Source organism: Homo sapiens, chromosome 9 (genome assembly GCF_000001405.40).
Source record: "Homo sapiens chromosome 9, GRCh38.p14 Primary Assembly".
In the NCBI taxonomy this organism is placed as follows: domain Eukaryota; kingdom Metazoa; phylum Chordata; class Mammalia; order Primates; family Hominidae; genus Homo; species Homo sapiens.
In genome coordinates, this window is record NC_000009.12 from 3,824,127 (window position 1) to 3,841,931 (window position 17,805).

Sequence of the window (17,805 nt, forward strand, 5' to 3'; positions counted from 1 at the left end):
AAACATGTATAAAAGCTTTAATTAAATCTGATGAAATAAAACTTCATGTTTTATTTATGGACACTCCCAACATGTAAAGGACTCAGGGAGACATTCATTTTTACTGCCATTTCCTCCTCATATCTATAATTAAATCCAGGCTACAGCTCTGGCCCAAAGCAATGCAGCATTTTAAAGCTGGACTTGAACATTCCCTCCCGCATCATCTGCCTTTAATTATAATTACCATTCCCAGTATGTAAGAGGCTGATGGTAAAACAAAACAAAAAAACAAACAAACAAACAATGATGGTTGCCATTGTGTTTTAAACCGACAGGCTGAAGGAGGATTTTAGGCAGGAGGGCGTCTTCTCTATTTCCAGTTTTATTCTGTACCAAGTGCACAATCCCTTCATTTTACTTTTGACATAAAAAAAGGACTTCATGAACAAGACAAAATAACTTATGATTATATGAAACATAACTGTGACAAATCACAAAACTATACATATTAATAGAAAAAAGTGTACCTAATTCTTTAAAAGATTTATGACAATAAGCACCAGATGTGCCTCTAGAGTAAAATCGGCCCCATATCCAGTATGATATATGCAGTTCATTTCTCTACGTGAGTGTATATAACTATGTACAAGAGTCTGTGTGATTTATGGAAAACAGATTTCCACTTTTTTCCCCCAAAGTGCTTTATGTCAGCAACATTACACAGGATACTTTGCTGTCTGTACAAAATAAATCTCTTTTTACACTCACTATTTCTCCAATGAGTGCTTTTTTTTTTTTGCTTCATCTGTTGCAAAAAAAAAAAAAAATAATAACCGCAGAAATTCCACACCACTAACAAAAAGTGCTATTTAAAAATGCTTCCATAAAATGACATGGCCAAGACAGTCAAATAAAATACCAAATAATTAAATTGAAAATGTACAGTTACTATTCCCAATACTTCAAGGCAACTGGAAAGTCAAGGTTCTCAGATGAGGGAGTTGAATTTATCCTTGCTCAAAATTGGTTTTAGGGGCTACTGTGCTTGACGGCTGGTAATTTAGAAACAACTGAACAAAGCCAACACTCTTATCAGTGGTAACTCTGCTGTGATCTACTAAAGACCTTTTTTTTTCTTCTTATTTTATGATCGCTTATGTAATTTGAGGGCGACATGGGTAATGGGAGATACCCCACAGGACCTGTAAATATTTAAATAATATTTAACAGCTGATCAGAGGCTAAATTACAACTGACATTTTGATGCAGTTTCGTTAGGGAATTAAGACAATGCAGCCAATGAAATGTCTCTAGGCAGACTGATTTTTTTTTTAATGCAATAGGATAATTGTCTTTGCGCTGTGTGTTTTCACAAGCACTAGTTTTGTGTTTTGTTTCTGTTTTTAAGGGGAATGACAATCTCTGTTTGGACATTTATGAAAATGGTTACATATCAAGACTTAAAAAGACCAGGACATGAAAGGGAATGATTTTTTTGAAGTTTCCACTTGTACTGCTGCAAAAATAATGATGAATATATATATAAATCTTCTGCAGTGTGAAAGTAAGCAAGGGACAAATTTTAAGGTCAGGAAAGACTCTCGAATCTAAGCATAGTGTGTGTAGTCTGGAAGGCATCTGAACGTGTCCTATCCTGAGGCTGCAATCTCAAGCCTGCAGCTATCAGGAAAGACCCACGGTGCGGGAAGCAGGGCTGCACTGGGTCCTGTGGCCAGCATGCTCTCTCTGAGATAAAATGTCCCTCTGGGGCTCCACATTGATTTCCTGCTGAGGAAGGAGGGCTGCAGGTGCCTCTATTGCTTACGCCCTCTTTAGAGTCCCTCTTGCCCCTGTGAGGTAAGAAAGGGGCAGGGTTACTGTGAGAGGCCACAGGAAGACTGGAGCCTGGTTCACAAGCAGCTCCTCTCAAAGAGGGAGGTGATGTCCATGGTTTCTAAAGTTGAGCTTCTGTCTTGTCCTCCTTCCCCCTTTCTATTTTAAATTACATAAAGCCAAAAGGCAGGGCTGACAATGTCAACTGCAATAACAACCTTGCCTTTTCATCTTTTTTCTCATTGTACAAATGAAATGAAATGTATTTTGAGTTCCTTGTAAAGGCTTCCATATTTAAGTATGAATAGATGGTTTCTCTGAAGATAGCAGAGTTTTTTTCTTTCCAGAGTATGACAAAGGACGCATGAGGGATGCTACTAGCTGTGAGCATGCATATGTTAGGCCACTTGTTTAGGCCAAGTGACACGACCCACAAAGTCTGCAGGAAGGGTGGTACTTTACAAGCAGCCTTGGAGTTCACTTGTAAAGGAAGCCTGGTGTGCATCTTTTGTAAAGCAGAGCAGGTTTTTTAAAGTGGCTAACTCATCTCTTTTGCAGACTTTGACGTCTACGTGAAAGCTTTTCTTAGAATACAGCCCACTACTCAGAGAAACTAGATTGACCAAGTGCACTGTGAAAACAAAACCCACACTTGGTTCTTCATTCACCTCATTCTACTGCATGTTGGAATGAACTCTGGAATCAGGTAGAATACTTCCGCTTGTGGGACTGTGGAGGGAGACTGGAAGGACCTGTCAGTATACAAACTGTCACAGAATCCCATCTAACATCAAGCTGTTTTAGTTGTCTTGTTGAAGATTGTAATGATCTCAGTTTGATAAATGGCATTGTTTCACTTTTGTTCAGAAAAACATTTTTAAAAAGTGAGAAAAAATACTTGAAATATGATAGTACCAGAATGTTAGAACTTACTGTGTCTTTGGGACTGGCCAATTTTTATAGCTGATGCCCTAGGACTTAGGATCTGTAATAGCTATGTAGAGGTGTCACAGAAAATGACTTCCTATTTAGGCTTGATATTTTCGACCAAGTGCTATGTGAAAATTCCAGGCCTTCAAACTGGAACTCAGAAAAAGAATTGCCTCTTTCTGTAGACTTTTCGAGAACTGTCACCTCTACCTTCCCAAGATGATCAGACAATGGCGGCTGGTGGGGATATATGAACCACAGTCAGGAAGAGGGTAAGAGGGATGCAAAAAGAGGGTGGAGAGAAGTGTAGGGAAGAGACAGACAGATGAGTGGATATCCTGAAAAACGTTAGTAAAATCTGAGCACTGGAAGTCAAGTATCACTAGGTTTGGTTTTCCAAGGGAAGCTGGCACATGACTCAGTCTGTCCCAGTTCTCACATCTGGCACTTCTCTGGGTGCAGCACCAGAGTGGAGGCAATGGGTAAACCAGTCAAACAACATTTTTCTTTGAACACAGTCTTTGAGGTGGAGTTACTAAACAGTCAACTCAGGAAGGTTCCAGCTACAGGACTGTTGGTGCGGGAGGTGCCCACTCCATTTCCCTCAGGTAACCTTTGCTAACTGCAAAACTAACATGCTAGAGGTGGGGCCAGGCAGAACCACAGCTGTGCAAAATGTCTATAGCTGGGGTGATTACAATAATAATGATTTCCATCCAAAGCACAGACCTTTACATTTTTTTTTCATTTTAAAATACGTATAAATAACTAAGTCTTTAAAATGCAAAAACAAGGATAGGCTGCTGGCATATAAAACCTTATTTTTCTATTGAAGAGAAACACTGAGAAGCAACTGGTTAGCATGTGGCTAAGAGAAAAGGGAAACCCAGGGAGTTTCTAAGAGTTGAGACCACACTATGCTTTGGACATGGATTTCCCTTGTTGTGCCTGGCTTTGCATCAGGAGCAGCAAGGGTGAGGATTAGGTGAGGCAGGTCACTATGCCTCTCGTAATTGAGGTCTTTTTCCCTGTTTGGAGTTTTCAGGTAGAGTCATCCCCAAACTACATTTTCATATGCACATCATTTCACTGGGGTCCTTTAAGGGTTGACAGCCAGGAAGTAACAGGTATCCAGGAGAGTGAGGCTCTAAATTCCCTTTGAAAAGACAGTCCTCCTGGTCACATAGTCCAGGAAAACCAGAGAGAAAAAGGAGCAACTGTAATGATTCCTGCAAAGCTAGCTCTGCCATTCAGTCCTGCCTTCTGAAAGAACATCAGTAACTCTGCAGGGCCCGCTGATTGGGCTGACATCCTTCCTCAAGCAGTCTGTGAGAGTACGAAAACAAAAGGTGGCAAGCAACATCAAGGTCCTGGGTGTGCAGGAGTGGCCAAGAGAGCTTTTAGCCTTCGGTGTAGACAGAGGAGAGCTGGCTAGGACAGCGGTCCACGGTGCTGATCTGCAAGAAGGTAGCATCTTCAGCCCCGCTGCGGAGAGACTCCCCAAAGAGGCTCGAGGAACTTGAAGGTAAATCATACACTGGAAGAGAAAGAACGCAGTTAAGTCAGTAACTCCTGCCCCATGCCACGCCCACTGGAAATGCACTACAGTAATGCAGCTCACCAAGTGAGGACTGGGGGCTAAGGAGGCAACCATGCCAGCCTGGGCCCTATAGTGAGTCTCTGTTTCCAGCGACCTTAGTGAGGGAAGAGGCTGACTTGCAGGCAGCTGGCTAAAATATGACCACACAAAAGACAGGCTGAGAAGAAGTAAAAGAAAAGTGTTCTAGGGAAGGCTGGGGGTGGCCTCAAAAAGGAGCTGGTGTTAAGGTTGAGTCATGAAAGAGAATGGAATTCTCACAGATGAAGAAATAGGGAAAGAACATTCCAGAAGGAGGAAACAAAGAGCAAAGACAGAGAGGGAGAGGCATGTGGGGTCAAGGGTGCTGGCAAAGCTCAGGTGAAGAGCATGTAGGGAAAAATATGTGTGGGCAGGTGTGCAGAGCTGGATCAGGCCTAACTTATGGGGGCTTTGAATGCCATGCTGGAGAGTCGAATTTATTCTCTAGGCAATTGGAAACTATTTAATATATTTGAGCAGAAAAGAGGCATATTTTATCCTTCATTTTGGGGAGGCAATGTTCATGGTAGTATGGAGGGCAGAATGGTAAAGATGAGGAATCAGGTCAGGGAGACTTACTGGAAGGTTATGGCCATAGTCTGGGAGAGACATGATGGCTCCTGCACCAGGGTGGTGGAAGAAGAGGGGCTGAAGGAGGGCTGGAGGGGAAGGTGGAGATGAGAGCCATTTCAGGGGTCGTTCAACAGGATTTGATGCGGTCATGTGCTTGGTCACGTCCAGCCCAGGTCGGTCACGGGCAGCCCACCTGGTCTCTCCTGTCAGTTGACAGGATTTTCTAAGTCACAGACAACCAACACACCTGTAATGCCCGAGTGAGTCGAGAAGGCTCTGTGGAAAACATCAAAACTGGCCTGGCCCATGGATGTAGGGACTAGGCAGTCCTCAAACGAAGGCACCACACTGCAGGAGCTGACAGGCGGCACAATTCTCTGGGAATCGGGGTAGTGTGGGGGACAGAACTTCTGCAGCTGCCCATAAAATCCTGAAACGCAAGCATGGCATTGAGCACAAGTTCCTTTGGGCACAAGTTCCACAGATCATTCCAACCCAGCTAGAACCTCACTCAGCCTGGCTTCCTAAGACAAATGCCTTTAACTCTTAAGGCCACCTGTAGAATCTTCCAAGCAAACATTTGGAATGCACTGTTGGGCTGAAGCTCTTCTACCTTAGAGGAATTTCCAAGCTTGTTAGTGTGTAATGTTTTTATTATGTGCTTTAGTATCTGAAGTGGGAAGGCTTCTTACCTTCCCTAGACTCTCTGAAGAGTCCTGGACATTCAAGGCCTGACCTTCAGGGGAGGTTCCTACCCTAGACTCTCCCGTCGGCATTTAAATGCATCTTCTTTAACTTCCTTTATCCTATATTTTCTTCTGTTTTCACACTGGTTAAAATCTTGCAGAATGCTCTTAAAAAGGCCCGCTTAAAAATGCATCCATCTATCTGTCTTTCCAATAGAGAAATACATGCACATTTAGATCTTATTATCCTGGCTAGGTAGACAGTGTTCCATAGTTGGATATACTTAACTATTTCTATTGTTGATCTTTGCAGTAAATGGAAAAACTGGAAGTGAATAATGTTATGAAAATGTTAGAAAATACAACACAAAACTCCAAAAAAGAAAAAATATGAGAAAAGAGTAATATTTGAAAATAATCATCAACCTTTTGATAATCTTATTTCATCTATTCCTTTCAATTTTTTTTCCATTCAATGTAGTTTTCCTTGGGGTCCCATGTGGTTCTTCTCTATGATCCTCCACTCCTTTCATGATGGCTTACTTTTTTCTTCTTTCTCCTTGCCTCATAATACATTTAAGTCAACAGATTATTTTCTTGGAGTATAATATGCTTCTGAAAATATAATAATGAAATCTTAGTTCCGTACATTATTGGAGGGAGCATTGTGGCTCTGCTGTTAACTCTCTACATTTCCTTGTGTCTGTCTCCTCAACCGTAAAATGTGAATGTCATTGTGTACTTCACTGGGCTATTGTGAAGATTAAGTGAGTCATTGGATAAGGAAGTCCATCTCTAACGTTTTAAAGCACTTTATAAGTGTCAGTTATTATTGATATCACTATTCTGGTTTTGATGGAAAAAAAGGGATTAATAGAGGAAGTACCCCAGGATTTCTTCCACAAACACTAAATAATGGAGAATGCAGAACAAACCCATGGACTTTGGACCCTTATTCCTGTGTGCCTTCCTCTACTAGAACTGCCTCTTCTTGAGATTGGAAGGCTTCATCCCTTATTAAAGAAATGAACCACCTATCAAAAGAGAGGGAAGGTGCTATTTAAGTTTCTTCTTAGCTCTCTTTAAGTAAAACCAGGGTGAACTGATACATCCAACCTACTATGCTCTCAACCCTTCTCATTTCCCATTAGGACCCACAATGTAGCCTGTGTAACTGCTCAGATCACCCTTGCTGGGACACTGGGAGGCCTATTCTATGGTTGTTATGAATATTGCCAAAGAATGTCTTAACCGTCCATAAAGATACATACTGGCCCTCTAGGAGTCTATCATCCAAGATAGATCAAATGCAGATTTATGGACAGGGCATATTCATAGTAGAAAACAAAATAATATCCTTTATAAGCAGACTAGAGTGCACTTTATATAGAATCAAAAGAAAAATCCACATACGGTTTGGAAGAAGATTAAATGCTTGTTATTAGTATAGACTAGGAAAATACCTAAGGAAATTCCACGTCAAGCCAGAAGAAGAAAGAATGGAAAGCTATTGTCTTTTTCCCTTTTGATGCCCAAAGGCATGGTTTCAATAGACAGGCAGGCAAAGAACCCAAACAGACCACTCATAAATACTCATATAATTGATCATCCAATATGAGCAAACTGTAAACTCTCAAGCCCACAAAGAAATACAAATCAAAACAATGATAAAATGTCACATTCTACCTATCACATTGGCAAAGATTCCTAAAAATCATTCTCAACACTGAAGTGTGAATGAAGAAGGCATTTCTATGTAATGTTGTAGACATTGCAAGAGAGTACAAGCCTTTTGGAAAACAGTTTGACAACCTGTATCTAGAACCCTAAAAGTGTTCAGACTATTGGATTAAGGAAATACACTTCTGATAAAGTATCCTGAAAATATATTCTGAAGAACATTAAGAAATTCTGCACAGGGACAGAGATTGCAGCGCTAGTGATCAAAACAGAAAACTGAAGAGCCAAAATGGCCAACCATAAGAGAATGTCTAAGCAAACAGTGGTACATTTATGTGATGGGAATTTTAAATAGGTATTAAAACAATATTTATAATAAGCTTTTAACAACATGGAAAGACCATTATAAGGTTCATGTTTCAAAAAGCATGATACAAAATTGAATACAAAGCCTAGGATCAGTTGTATGGATGCCTATGTTACAGAATAAAGATGGCAAGTTACCATATCTATAGTTGTCTTTGGGTATTTTTTTTTTGCCTGTATATTTTTTCTAAATTTTAGCAATAGTGAAGAGCAAGTACTCTGGATCCTGGGGTTCAAATCCTAGCTCAACTACTTACCAACTGTGTAGTCTTGGCAAATTACTTAGCTTCTTGGTGCCTCAGTTTTCCAATTTGTAAAATCAGGTTAATAATAGTAATTACATCATACTGCGTTATAAAGATTAAATGAGTTAATACTTACATATTATACAATTTTATAATTAGCATTTATATAATATATAATTTAATAATATAAATTACATAGTATATATGTTTGCTAAATAAAAAATAAAATTATTTTATAATGACTGTATTTCTTAAAAATAAAAGTTTATTGAGGAAAATAAAATTTCCAAAAAGAACAAGTAAGTTATTTAACAATAACCAATGTAAGAAAGGACAAAGCAGCAGGTATGTGGCATACCCGCTGTTCCTAGGTGGAATCTTCAACAGTTTTGGCCTTTTGAAGACCTGAGCTGTATACCTCTTCTTGCTCATGGCTCCTCAATCCTGCACTAATTGACACACAGACTAATTTCTTCATTTACCCTATTGGGGGCTCCAAACAGCAACATGTCTGAGTGGTTTGAGGGAACCTGGAATGTGGAGATGTATAGTTTCAGTAGTTCCTTGGACTGATCTTGACTTTGATACCTGGAGGCCAGGCACAGGCAAATATGGCAGTATCATCAGGAGGAAAACGTTAGCATAAACCGCCATGGTTGGTCTACTAGAATGTAATCTCTCCTGAGCAAAATAGACAATATTTGCTATCTATATCTTTATGCAAACTCTCCTCATATTTGTCACCCATAAATTTCCTGATAGCACTCCTCAGCGTAATATCAACCTTCCAAGAAAAGATTTTTTCACTAAACTCCCACAACTTCACAAATAGGGACATTAATCATTCGGGGACAATGATAGAGACTTTCACTGGCCTTTCATGAAAACCAATTTATTCACCCTTTCCTATCTTCTCTCATTTTACTAAGAGGGAACAGAAGTGTCAAATGCTTTAGTCTATATTCAAGTGTTGTGATATATGAGAGTATAAAAGGTTTGTGATGTGGCAAAATACACCTAGAAAAGTTAAATATCAAATCCAACATTCTGGGCTTCATCTCCTAGTCTGGATCTGAGCGAGGAGGACAGAGTAGACTCTAATTCCTGCCTGTGGGTGTCTTGGCTGACACAGGAAACTGTCAAAACCAGAATGGCCCCACAAGCATGTTTTATCACTCTAACAGCCAACTCAAGAAAAGAAAATCCTCTTTATTAAATCTCTCCAAGTAGCCAGTTACTAGAGATGCCAAATACACTGGTGTGGATGGTTTTCATATATTCTCTTCCCAGCACTATTTTCACAAACCAACACTTTTTAAAAAATTCCGTTAGGGTCTTGCCACACACACAAATCCAGAGAAGGCCTAACTCATTTTCTGATGAATGGCTCCTGCATTCCAGCGGTTGGATTTCACATAGCAAATTTGGAAATAACACTACTTCTCGGACCCAAAGCAAAATGAGGCAAGATGTTAACACATTTTGTGGGCGTAAAACCTGAGAGTGGTGGCAAGGTCAGCCAATCTGTCCGTCAGTCAATAGTGGCTATCAAGTGCTGGTTAGGGTGCTATTGCTGAAACCAAAGAAATGTAAGACATCATCCTTGTCTTTGAGGATTGATAACACAGCTGGAGTGAGAACACATGCATTTATAGTAGCATAAGAACATACATATAAATGTAAGTTGGCAATAAATGTTAGTTGTTATTATACATTTAATTTCAGAATCACCCCTCTACTTTAAAAGTTATTTTGCCTTCAAGAATGGAGGAGTGGAGGAACTTGCAGATAAATGTATTCCACCTAAACTGCAGTTCCCAAAGGTCAAGGAGAATCATTCCTCCTTCTCTCAGTTTTGGGAAGTTTTTTTTCCCCCTCCTAAAAACAAACTTGTTCTAATTATAAGAATATTTGAGGCTAATTATAAACTAGAAAATGCAGACTAGTATAAACAAAGAAGGCAAAAATTATTTTTTATTTCCATGATTCAGAAATGGCCAGCTATATACCCACAAAACTGAAACGTTTTATACATTTATCTTCTGTTTTTGCCTCTAATATCATGCATGAGTTTCTTCACATTCATTCATTCTTAGAAGGCTTTTTCTTTTTCTTTTAGTCACGGAGTCACTAGTGTCTCTGTGATGACAGGTTAAAGAGTTCACGGTCCCTTTTGCTAATGATGATAAAGCAGCCCCATAAAGCTTTGGATTTCGTTTCCAAACTAGAAAGGGAGTGGGGAAGGTTAGAGGAGAAAGGAATTACATGAGTAAATATGATAATAGAAGGATACCCTCTAGGGCCATGCTGTCCAAGAGAACTTTCCATGATGATGAAAATGCTCTTTATCTGTGCTGTCCAATACAGTAGCTACATGTGGTTATTACATCTTTGAAATGCGGCTAGTGTGACTGAAGAACTGACTTTTAAATTTTATTGAATTTTAATTAATTCAAATTTAAATAGCCACTCATGGCTATTGTACCTGACAGCACAGCTCTAGGGCAATCTGAATTCCCAGGTCTAGCCAACTTTGTTTCAAGAGTATTTCAAATTAAATTCTAGAAAGAAAAACACATGACCCACCCCAAGTTTAAATAAAGCAACATGAATAATCTTAGGCTCCTGGCCTTCAAGATAGAAAGTATATTAGATTTTTTAATACATCTATCTTTTCCTTGCAAATTTGCCACTTCAATCTTTGTGGAAGGAACCAGAATATAAATACATTAATAAGTAAAGAATGGTCCCTCAACTCCCAACCCCTCAAGAAGCTGAGGAATGTTTTAGGCTAAACTGCCAGGGCACTCCAACCCTCCTAGAGGTACTATGTTCCCTTCTGAAGCAGCAGCAGAAGAAAGAAATGTGTCACCCACTTTCTTCACTTCAGATTGCAGGCCTAGCTCTCCATGTGCACCAGGGTGGCGATGTGCCCTTGTGGGTCTCCATTTATCCTACCATATGATGGTGGAGTGTCAACACAGAAGGCTCTACCCAACTGTTGAGGAACATGGATGGTGATTAATACCATCAGCCTACACTTCGTCAAAGGGATAAGTCATGATCTGTGTACTTAGTAGGTTTGTTTATGCAGCAGATGGCCTTGCAAAACAAAATGCTTGTTTTCCTTTACAGTGAGGCTGGGGAACCACCACCAAACTGTGGGCACTAGGAAAAGTGCTACATGGACAACACTCAGAATCGAGACAGCCCCTTCCCTGCAGTAGGCTCAGACTGGACCATGATGACAACTCATAGGTCCAGAAGGTCCACATATGACAATAGGAACCCCTCAAAAACATCAGGAAGGTTCCCCAGAATTTCCCCCTCCAGAGTGTGACCTAGTCAGGCTTGGCAGGATCCTCTAGGAGACTCCTTGGAAATAATGCTGGGTGTTCCAAGACCCCTTGATATGTCAGATGGGAAAACCCTTTAACTCCATGTGATGCAGACTGTATCAATTCAGGGATCCAGGCTAAGTGCTATAGTTTTTCAGCCACTACCCAAATCTCAGGAGTCATCTATTGTTTGACTTTTCAGAAGAAACAGTGACTAATGTGTGTGCTTGCCTTTGCTGCAATCATTGTAATTTAGCAAAATGAGGGTGTTAACAGTATCTACTTGTAATCACAAAGACTAAAGAGGATTAACAGAGACCATCCAATGTAAAGTGCTGGGCATGTGCCTGACACACAGTTCACACCCTATAACTGTTACTTTTACTTTTTTCTTTTTCTATTCTTCTAATAACATAAGCATTTCAATTTCTATGCTTTCATTTACTTGACAACTATTCACTAAGCACTTATTCAAGTGTTGGGGATATAGTGGTAAATAAATCACACTCCATGCCTTTTTGGAGCCTGCATTTTAGTGAGAAAGAAAGACAAACATATAAATGAGAAATCAAGTAACATAATTTCATACTACATATGACAATAGAAAATTTTCTTTACGGGATACATAGAGATGTAATTCTCTTTTCTGGAATGCATTCAAGATAGGAAGAATGAAAAGGAACAAATAAGGAAGTTTTGACTGTGGTTCCCTTTGTTTGGCCCTGTCTGCTGATGGCAGGTATAGTCAGGAGGCCACCCCACAGCTCTGCTGAGAACCAGCCCTGGCAGAGCAGATTTCCTGCCGTTGGTGCTAAGCAGTTTGTGCCTGGGTAGAAGAATAAGCAGATATCAGCGGCAGAGGCAGAATTGGCAGCCCCTCAGTTTCTTGGTCGTATGGCTGTTTGCTAGCCAAGTGGAAGGAAGGATGTATATTTATGAGCTTTACAGCTCTAATTATTTTTCCGCAGAGACTATAATTTTGTGGGTTACTACTTTAGGAAGTGTAGCGATTTTGGCCCCAGTCATATGGTGGCTGCATATGCAGGGACATGTAGAAGCATAAGTGATGAATGGGTGGACTCAAACCAGGACCCCAAGGACAGGGACACAGAAGATGCATGACCCCACTCTCCTTTGCCTTCAGATTTCTTCTTTTCCAGCACTCTATGGCTCTTTGTGGATTCCCCTACTCTTTTGGGGCCCTTGGCCTACCACCTTTGAATACTTCTCATAAACCAAGTCCAGGGAAAGAAAAGAGGAAAAGATGGTACAAAACCAGTGAAGCCCCTAGGGCAACTCGCTCCTTGGTTTAGGGACAGTGGTGGTATCCCCTAAGACCCAGCAAGACGAGAGCCATATGCTGACAGCCACACCAGGGTTGCTGTTTCCCCCAAATACTAGTGGCTCCACACTTCCACAGCCAACTGCCAACATCTCACCACCGCTCACCACCATCCCCTTCCATACTTCTGCTGTTCGTCTTCTTCTTCCTCTCTGTGACCCTATGTTAAAGGACAATCTCAGCATTCTGCTTGTTAGTTAAGCCAGAGCAAATGAAGGACAACAATCCTGGATCTGGAGGACCCCAGCCTAATGTGCAAGTCTAGAAGTTCTGGTCACCTGGAAAAGAATTCACCCTATGCCTCTGGGCTGCTTTACAAGTTGGAATATTCCCACAGAATAAGGATATTGTTGCTCAATCCACTTCAGGGTCACCAAGTCTCATATGTCACATCCATTGTAACCAAAGGCACTGACCTACGACAGGTCTGAAAAGGTGGCTATTTTCAAGAAGCACTGACCTGCACCACATAAGGCCCTTCATACTACTAACTAAGACGAATTGGAGCATCTTTGGTTACACACCTATTATAATGGTGAAAACTGAAACCAGTGATAACACCAAATGCTGGCAAGGATGTGGAGCAATGGGAACTCTCTTTCACTGCAAAATGGTACAGCCACTTTAGAAGACAGGTTGGCAGTATCTTGCAAAACTAAACATATGCTTACCATAGGATTCAGCAATTGTGTCCTCTTATATTTACCCAAAGGGTTGGAAAACTTATGTCCATACAAATCCCTGTACATGTATGTTTATAGTAGCATTATTCATCACTGCCAAAATTTGGAAGCAACCGAGATTTCCTTCAGTAGGCAAACGAATAAATAAACTGCAGTACATGCAGGCAATGGAATATTATTCAGCACTAAAAAGAAATGACCTATTAAGCCATGAAAAGACACGGAGGGAATTTCAATTTAAATGCATATTGCTGAGTGAAAGAAGCCAATCCGAAAAGGCTACATGCTGCATGACTCCAACTATACAACATTCTGGAAAAGGCAAAATTATAGAGACAGTATAAGTCCGTGGTTTCCACAGGTTGGGGGGAGGGAAGGACGAGCACAGAGGTAGCGAAGCTATTCCGTATGATGCTACCATGGTGGATAGATGCCATTATACATTCGTTAAAACTCATAGGCTGTACAAGAGTGACCCCTAATATCAGCTGTGGACTTTGAGTGAAACTGATGTGTCATTGTAGGTTTATTGATTGTAACAAAGGCACCACTCTGGTGTGGTATGTTGGTAGTGGGAGAGATTGTGTGTGGAGGGGGTGGGGGGAGGAGGGTGTGTGGGAACTCCCTGCACTTTCCACTACATTTTTCTGTGAACCCAAAACTGCTCTGAAATAGTCTATTAAATGGGTGGGCATGTATCTCTGTATTATATGCCTTCCCCACCAAAATATGTATTCCATGAAGGCAGACACCTTGTCCAGTTTGTTAATTATTGTATCCATAGCACTAAGACTAGTACCTGGCATGTAGTAAGCATTCAATATGTATTTGTTGACTGAATAAATGTAAGGAAATCTTAGTTACTTTAATAAGAATTAAAATACAGCCCTTTTACTGAGGTGATATCTTTCTTATTTCCATACACCCCAGTACTTAAGAGAGACCTACAGTCCTCAGCTCTCTGTGGGACTGGCTCATCCCTGGCCAACCCACACTTTCTTCCTGCTGAGAAGATTCTTTGGTTTCACTTAGCCTTGGAGTGCAAAGTCAGAGGGTAGAATAAAGGAAGGTTTGCTGAATCCAGGGATTCTGCTTCCTGGTGAATGGAATGGGCATGGGAAAGCAGATGACAAAGACAACAGCAAGTATAAGAAGAATCCCTGCTAAAAATACGCTTCCACACAGCCTAGGAGTGGGAGGTTTACTTGGGTCAGTTAGGTGCTTCCCAGGGATTCAAACACTCCCTGTCTAGGTTAAAGCTCTCAATCACTAATGGTAGTTATGAATTCCCCCAACCAACTACACTAAACAGTCTTTGAAAATACAAATTTTGATGGGAAAGGAAAAGGGACAGAGGAGAAAGAAGATAAATGTCCTCACTCCCCTTGGCTCCCTTCATTTCTTCTCCAACACTCGGGATATTTGTGGAGCCCTTGCTCTCTGGGGACCCTTGACCTGCTGCCTTGGAAAACCTTCTGTAATCCACGACAGACCCAATGAGAAAAAAAGAACACACAGATAACGTTGCTGAAAAAGCTCCTAGAGGGCATAAGAATATAGTCTTTGGGGTCGCATCTACTCAGCCTAATTCTATACATTCAAACTTTGAAATCAGAGAAAGGCCCAGGGAATCATACACTCACTACCTACATGGTACCTTAATATTAGAATACCATAAAAATTTCTTCTTAAGTAGCCTTCTGACATTTTTGTCCTGTAAGCAGGTACTTCAAACAAATGTTCCCATTTTAGACAATGAGATGGAAGCAGAGGAAATGTTGAGTGCCTTGCCTTTATAACCAATACTTTGTTTATATGATATCATGTCAATAAAAGTGCAAAATTCATCCAACCATTCTAATATTTCTAAATATCTAGATATTTGGAATTATTTGTGGATGGAGCCTTTGTATTAAAACAAATGGGCAGCAGAATGAAAACAGCAATCACACAATCTCCTACTAAGTCCAGAGCTTTCTTACTGGCGGGTTCCTTGCTTTGGCATTTTGGAAAAATATTTTGGTTAGTGTTATACCAACCACTCAGAATTCTGTCATAAGGAAGGAAAGGAACTAATAGTTATTTACTCAGAGACAGGCATTGCCCCAGGTGTTTTACATAGAAAATCTTCATCATTAAAACAACTTTTTGGTTAAGTAATATTGTCCCAAGTTTACAGCCAAAAAAAAAAAGGGGGGAGAAGTTAAAATAACTGAATTTATCCAAATCCTCATGGCTACCATGTTTCAGAACCAGGACTCAAATTTTTATCTATTCAAGGACATAGTTCATGTCAGATTACTGGGGCTCAGGCTCATGACCAAATCAATTTAAATACAATCTTGCCACTTTTGTTGAGGTTTCTCACTGCCAGGTTGCAGGCAAAGTTACCCAGACTGCATCAACATTTTGGAAAGTGCAGATATTCTCATTAGGGAGAAAAGTATTTAATTAATTAGTAAAATTGATCAAATCACCTAATCACTGAAAAATTCTACAAACCCTGAAGTGTAGAAACAGAGACACTTCAGAAATTTCTCATGGCCAATTTTCTGATTTAGCCCCTCTTTTATTTCCATCCATTGCATTAACGACTTGGATTTGTGTCTGAATCCCAGATGACCCATTAACGAATTGTGTGTCTTTGGATGAATGATTTTTTCTTGAGCGTCATTTTCTTTGAAATTTTATAGGGTTGTGGAAAATATTATGTATAACAGTGTTTATAAAAGCATTTGGTGCATTCTCTGGCACATAGTAGGCCTTAAGTTCAACTATGTAACCATGAAATAAGCTTAGAAATATGTAGAGGTTCTGTGTAACACATAAGCAGTTCTTAAGTAATTTTTATTACACAACCTACTACCATTAAGTATAAAATCATACTGCTCTTAAAAGTGAAATTGCCACAATTTGGTTATCATTTTTGCCTTGGCTGCTTGTCTTGGCCATCAGTACCATCCAGCTCTTCATCTGAGGTAGGAGTCTACTAAGCATCCTCCTGGAAGAGGTATAAAAACTGACTCTTCATTTTAATACAGAGTCTATAAATGGGGAAGCTGCAGGAACAGCTCACAGACTGTGTTAGGAAGACAGATTTTTCTGCGGGCTGAGAACTGAACCAGCTTGCAAAGCACTCGAGCTATTTACGACTGACATTTAAGCAACTACTCTACTAAGAAAGAGGAAGATAATGGAAATAATAACCCTGAAAATTCCATTGAGGCACATTTCTTTTGAAGGAACCCATGACAGTGGTTCAAAAGTTGACCACTGGAGCAACCGCCTGGTCCCTTTGTCCTTGGAGAGATGGGTCGTAGCATGAAGGCTTCTAATTAGAAAAGTCCACGTGGTTCCAAGAAGCAAGGCCATTTTCATCTACAGCTCTTGCTGCCAACTTGCAGGCCACAGCGAGCTGCACTCTGAACATGCTGGGTACTTTCTCCACTTGTGCCCCTCACAGCACCTCATCTGGTCTGTAGCAAGCTGGAAACAGCATTTATCACTGTGAACCACATTTTGGCCCTTAGACTTATATACTCATTTCCAGGGACGAGGTAGCAGAGAAGGAGGAGGTTCTGCTACTCACATCTGCAAAAGGTTCAAACAAGGGGATGGGAACGGGCAGAGCAGGTGGCTAAAAGCGACAATAGGGAAATAGGGGGGAAAAAACCGAGTGAGAAGGCAGCATGCTTAAAGCACTCTTGATTAAAAGATGTAATCAGTTTTCATTTGAATATCCCCAAACCACCCAAAACCCTAGTGCGTGGTGGCCTATGGCTTCCAAATTCTCAAAATGATAAGCTGCCAAAGTAAACTAATTGCAGTGTGTCTCAGTAATTGCCATGTGTGGATATATACAGTTATAGTAAAATGGTTCAGTGAGTCCTGATGGTGATAATGCACATTTGGAAAATACATAAAATAGAGATTCTCAAAACCAAGAACTCCTGAGGGTCCGAGATGGATCTGAAAGCCAGCTCTGCCATGTACTAGCTGTGTGGCTTTGAGGGAACTCTAGCCTCTCTGAGCCTATGATCCCTATTTATAAAAAGAGACAGTAACACTCACATGGCATCAGAATCCTCAACGTGGGAAGGAGAAGCAGCACAGGGAACAAAGGATTCAGTGCCCAGCTACCCATTAGTAGCCACCCACATTCCATCACCTGCCAACTACTCCCTATAACTCAAAATTCCTGGATACAAGTAAGGATCAGAATGAAGGGTGGAGGATTTGGATATTCTGTATCTGATGCAGTGTGGAGCAAACACTTTGCCAAGGTTGACAAGAAAGAGTTGGGAATTTTTCTATGAGGGGGAACACTGGTTGCTAGTATATATGTATCCCTACTGGGTGGCTGCAAGGATCAACTGAAATAATAAACACGAAAGTATTTTGCCAACAGTAAAACCCACTAAAAATTCTAGCTCCTGCTGTCTCATTATAAGCCTGGTGTTACCTGTCATCCTCCCTTCTCTGAGTAGAAAGGTAAATCTGCCCATGGTTCTATCAGTCATTTTCCCATA

General features: G+C 40.6%; 1 protein-coding gene across 12 annotated transcripts in view; it reads right to left on the bottom strand.

The window, feature by feature from the left end:
- The window catches only part of GLIS3 (GLIS family zinc finger 3), a 666,339-nt gene continuing 648,534 nt past the window's right edge, over positions 1 to 17,805 (bottom strand). For all 12 annotated transcript variants that reach the window (XM_047422890.1, XM_011517763.3, NM_001438912.1 and 9 more), the window contains 2 exons: positions 5,184 to 5,366; positions 1 to 4,282 (listed from right to left, as the gene is read on the bottom strand). In XM_047422890.1, coding sequence (XP_047278846.1) covers positions 4,146 to 4,282; positions 5,184 to 5,366 — 320 coding nt within the window. In that variant the 3' untranslated portion in view covers positions 1 to 4,145. The remainder of the gene's footprint in view (positions 4,283 to 5,183; positions 5,367 to 17,805) is intronic.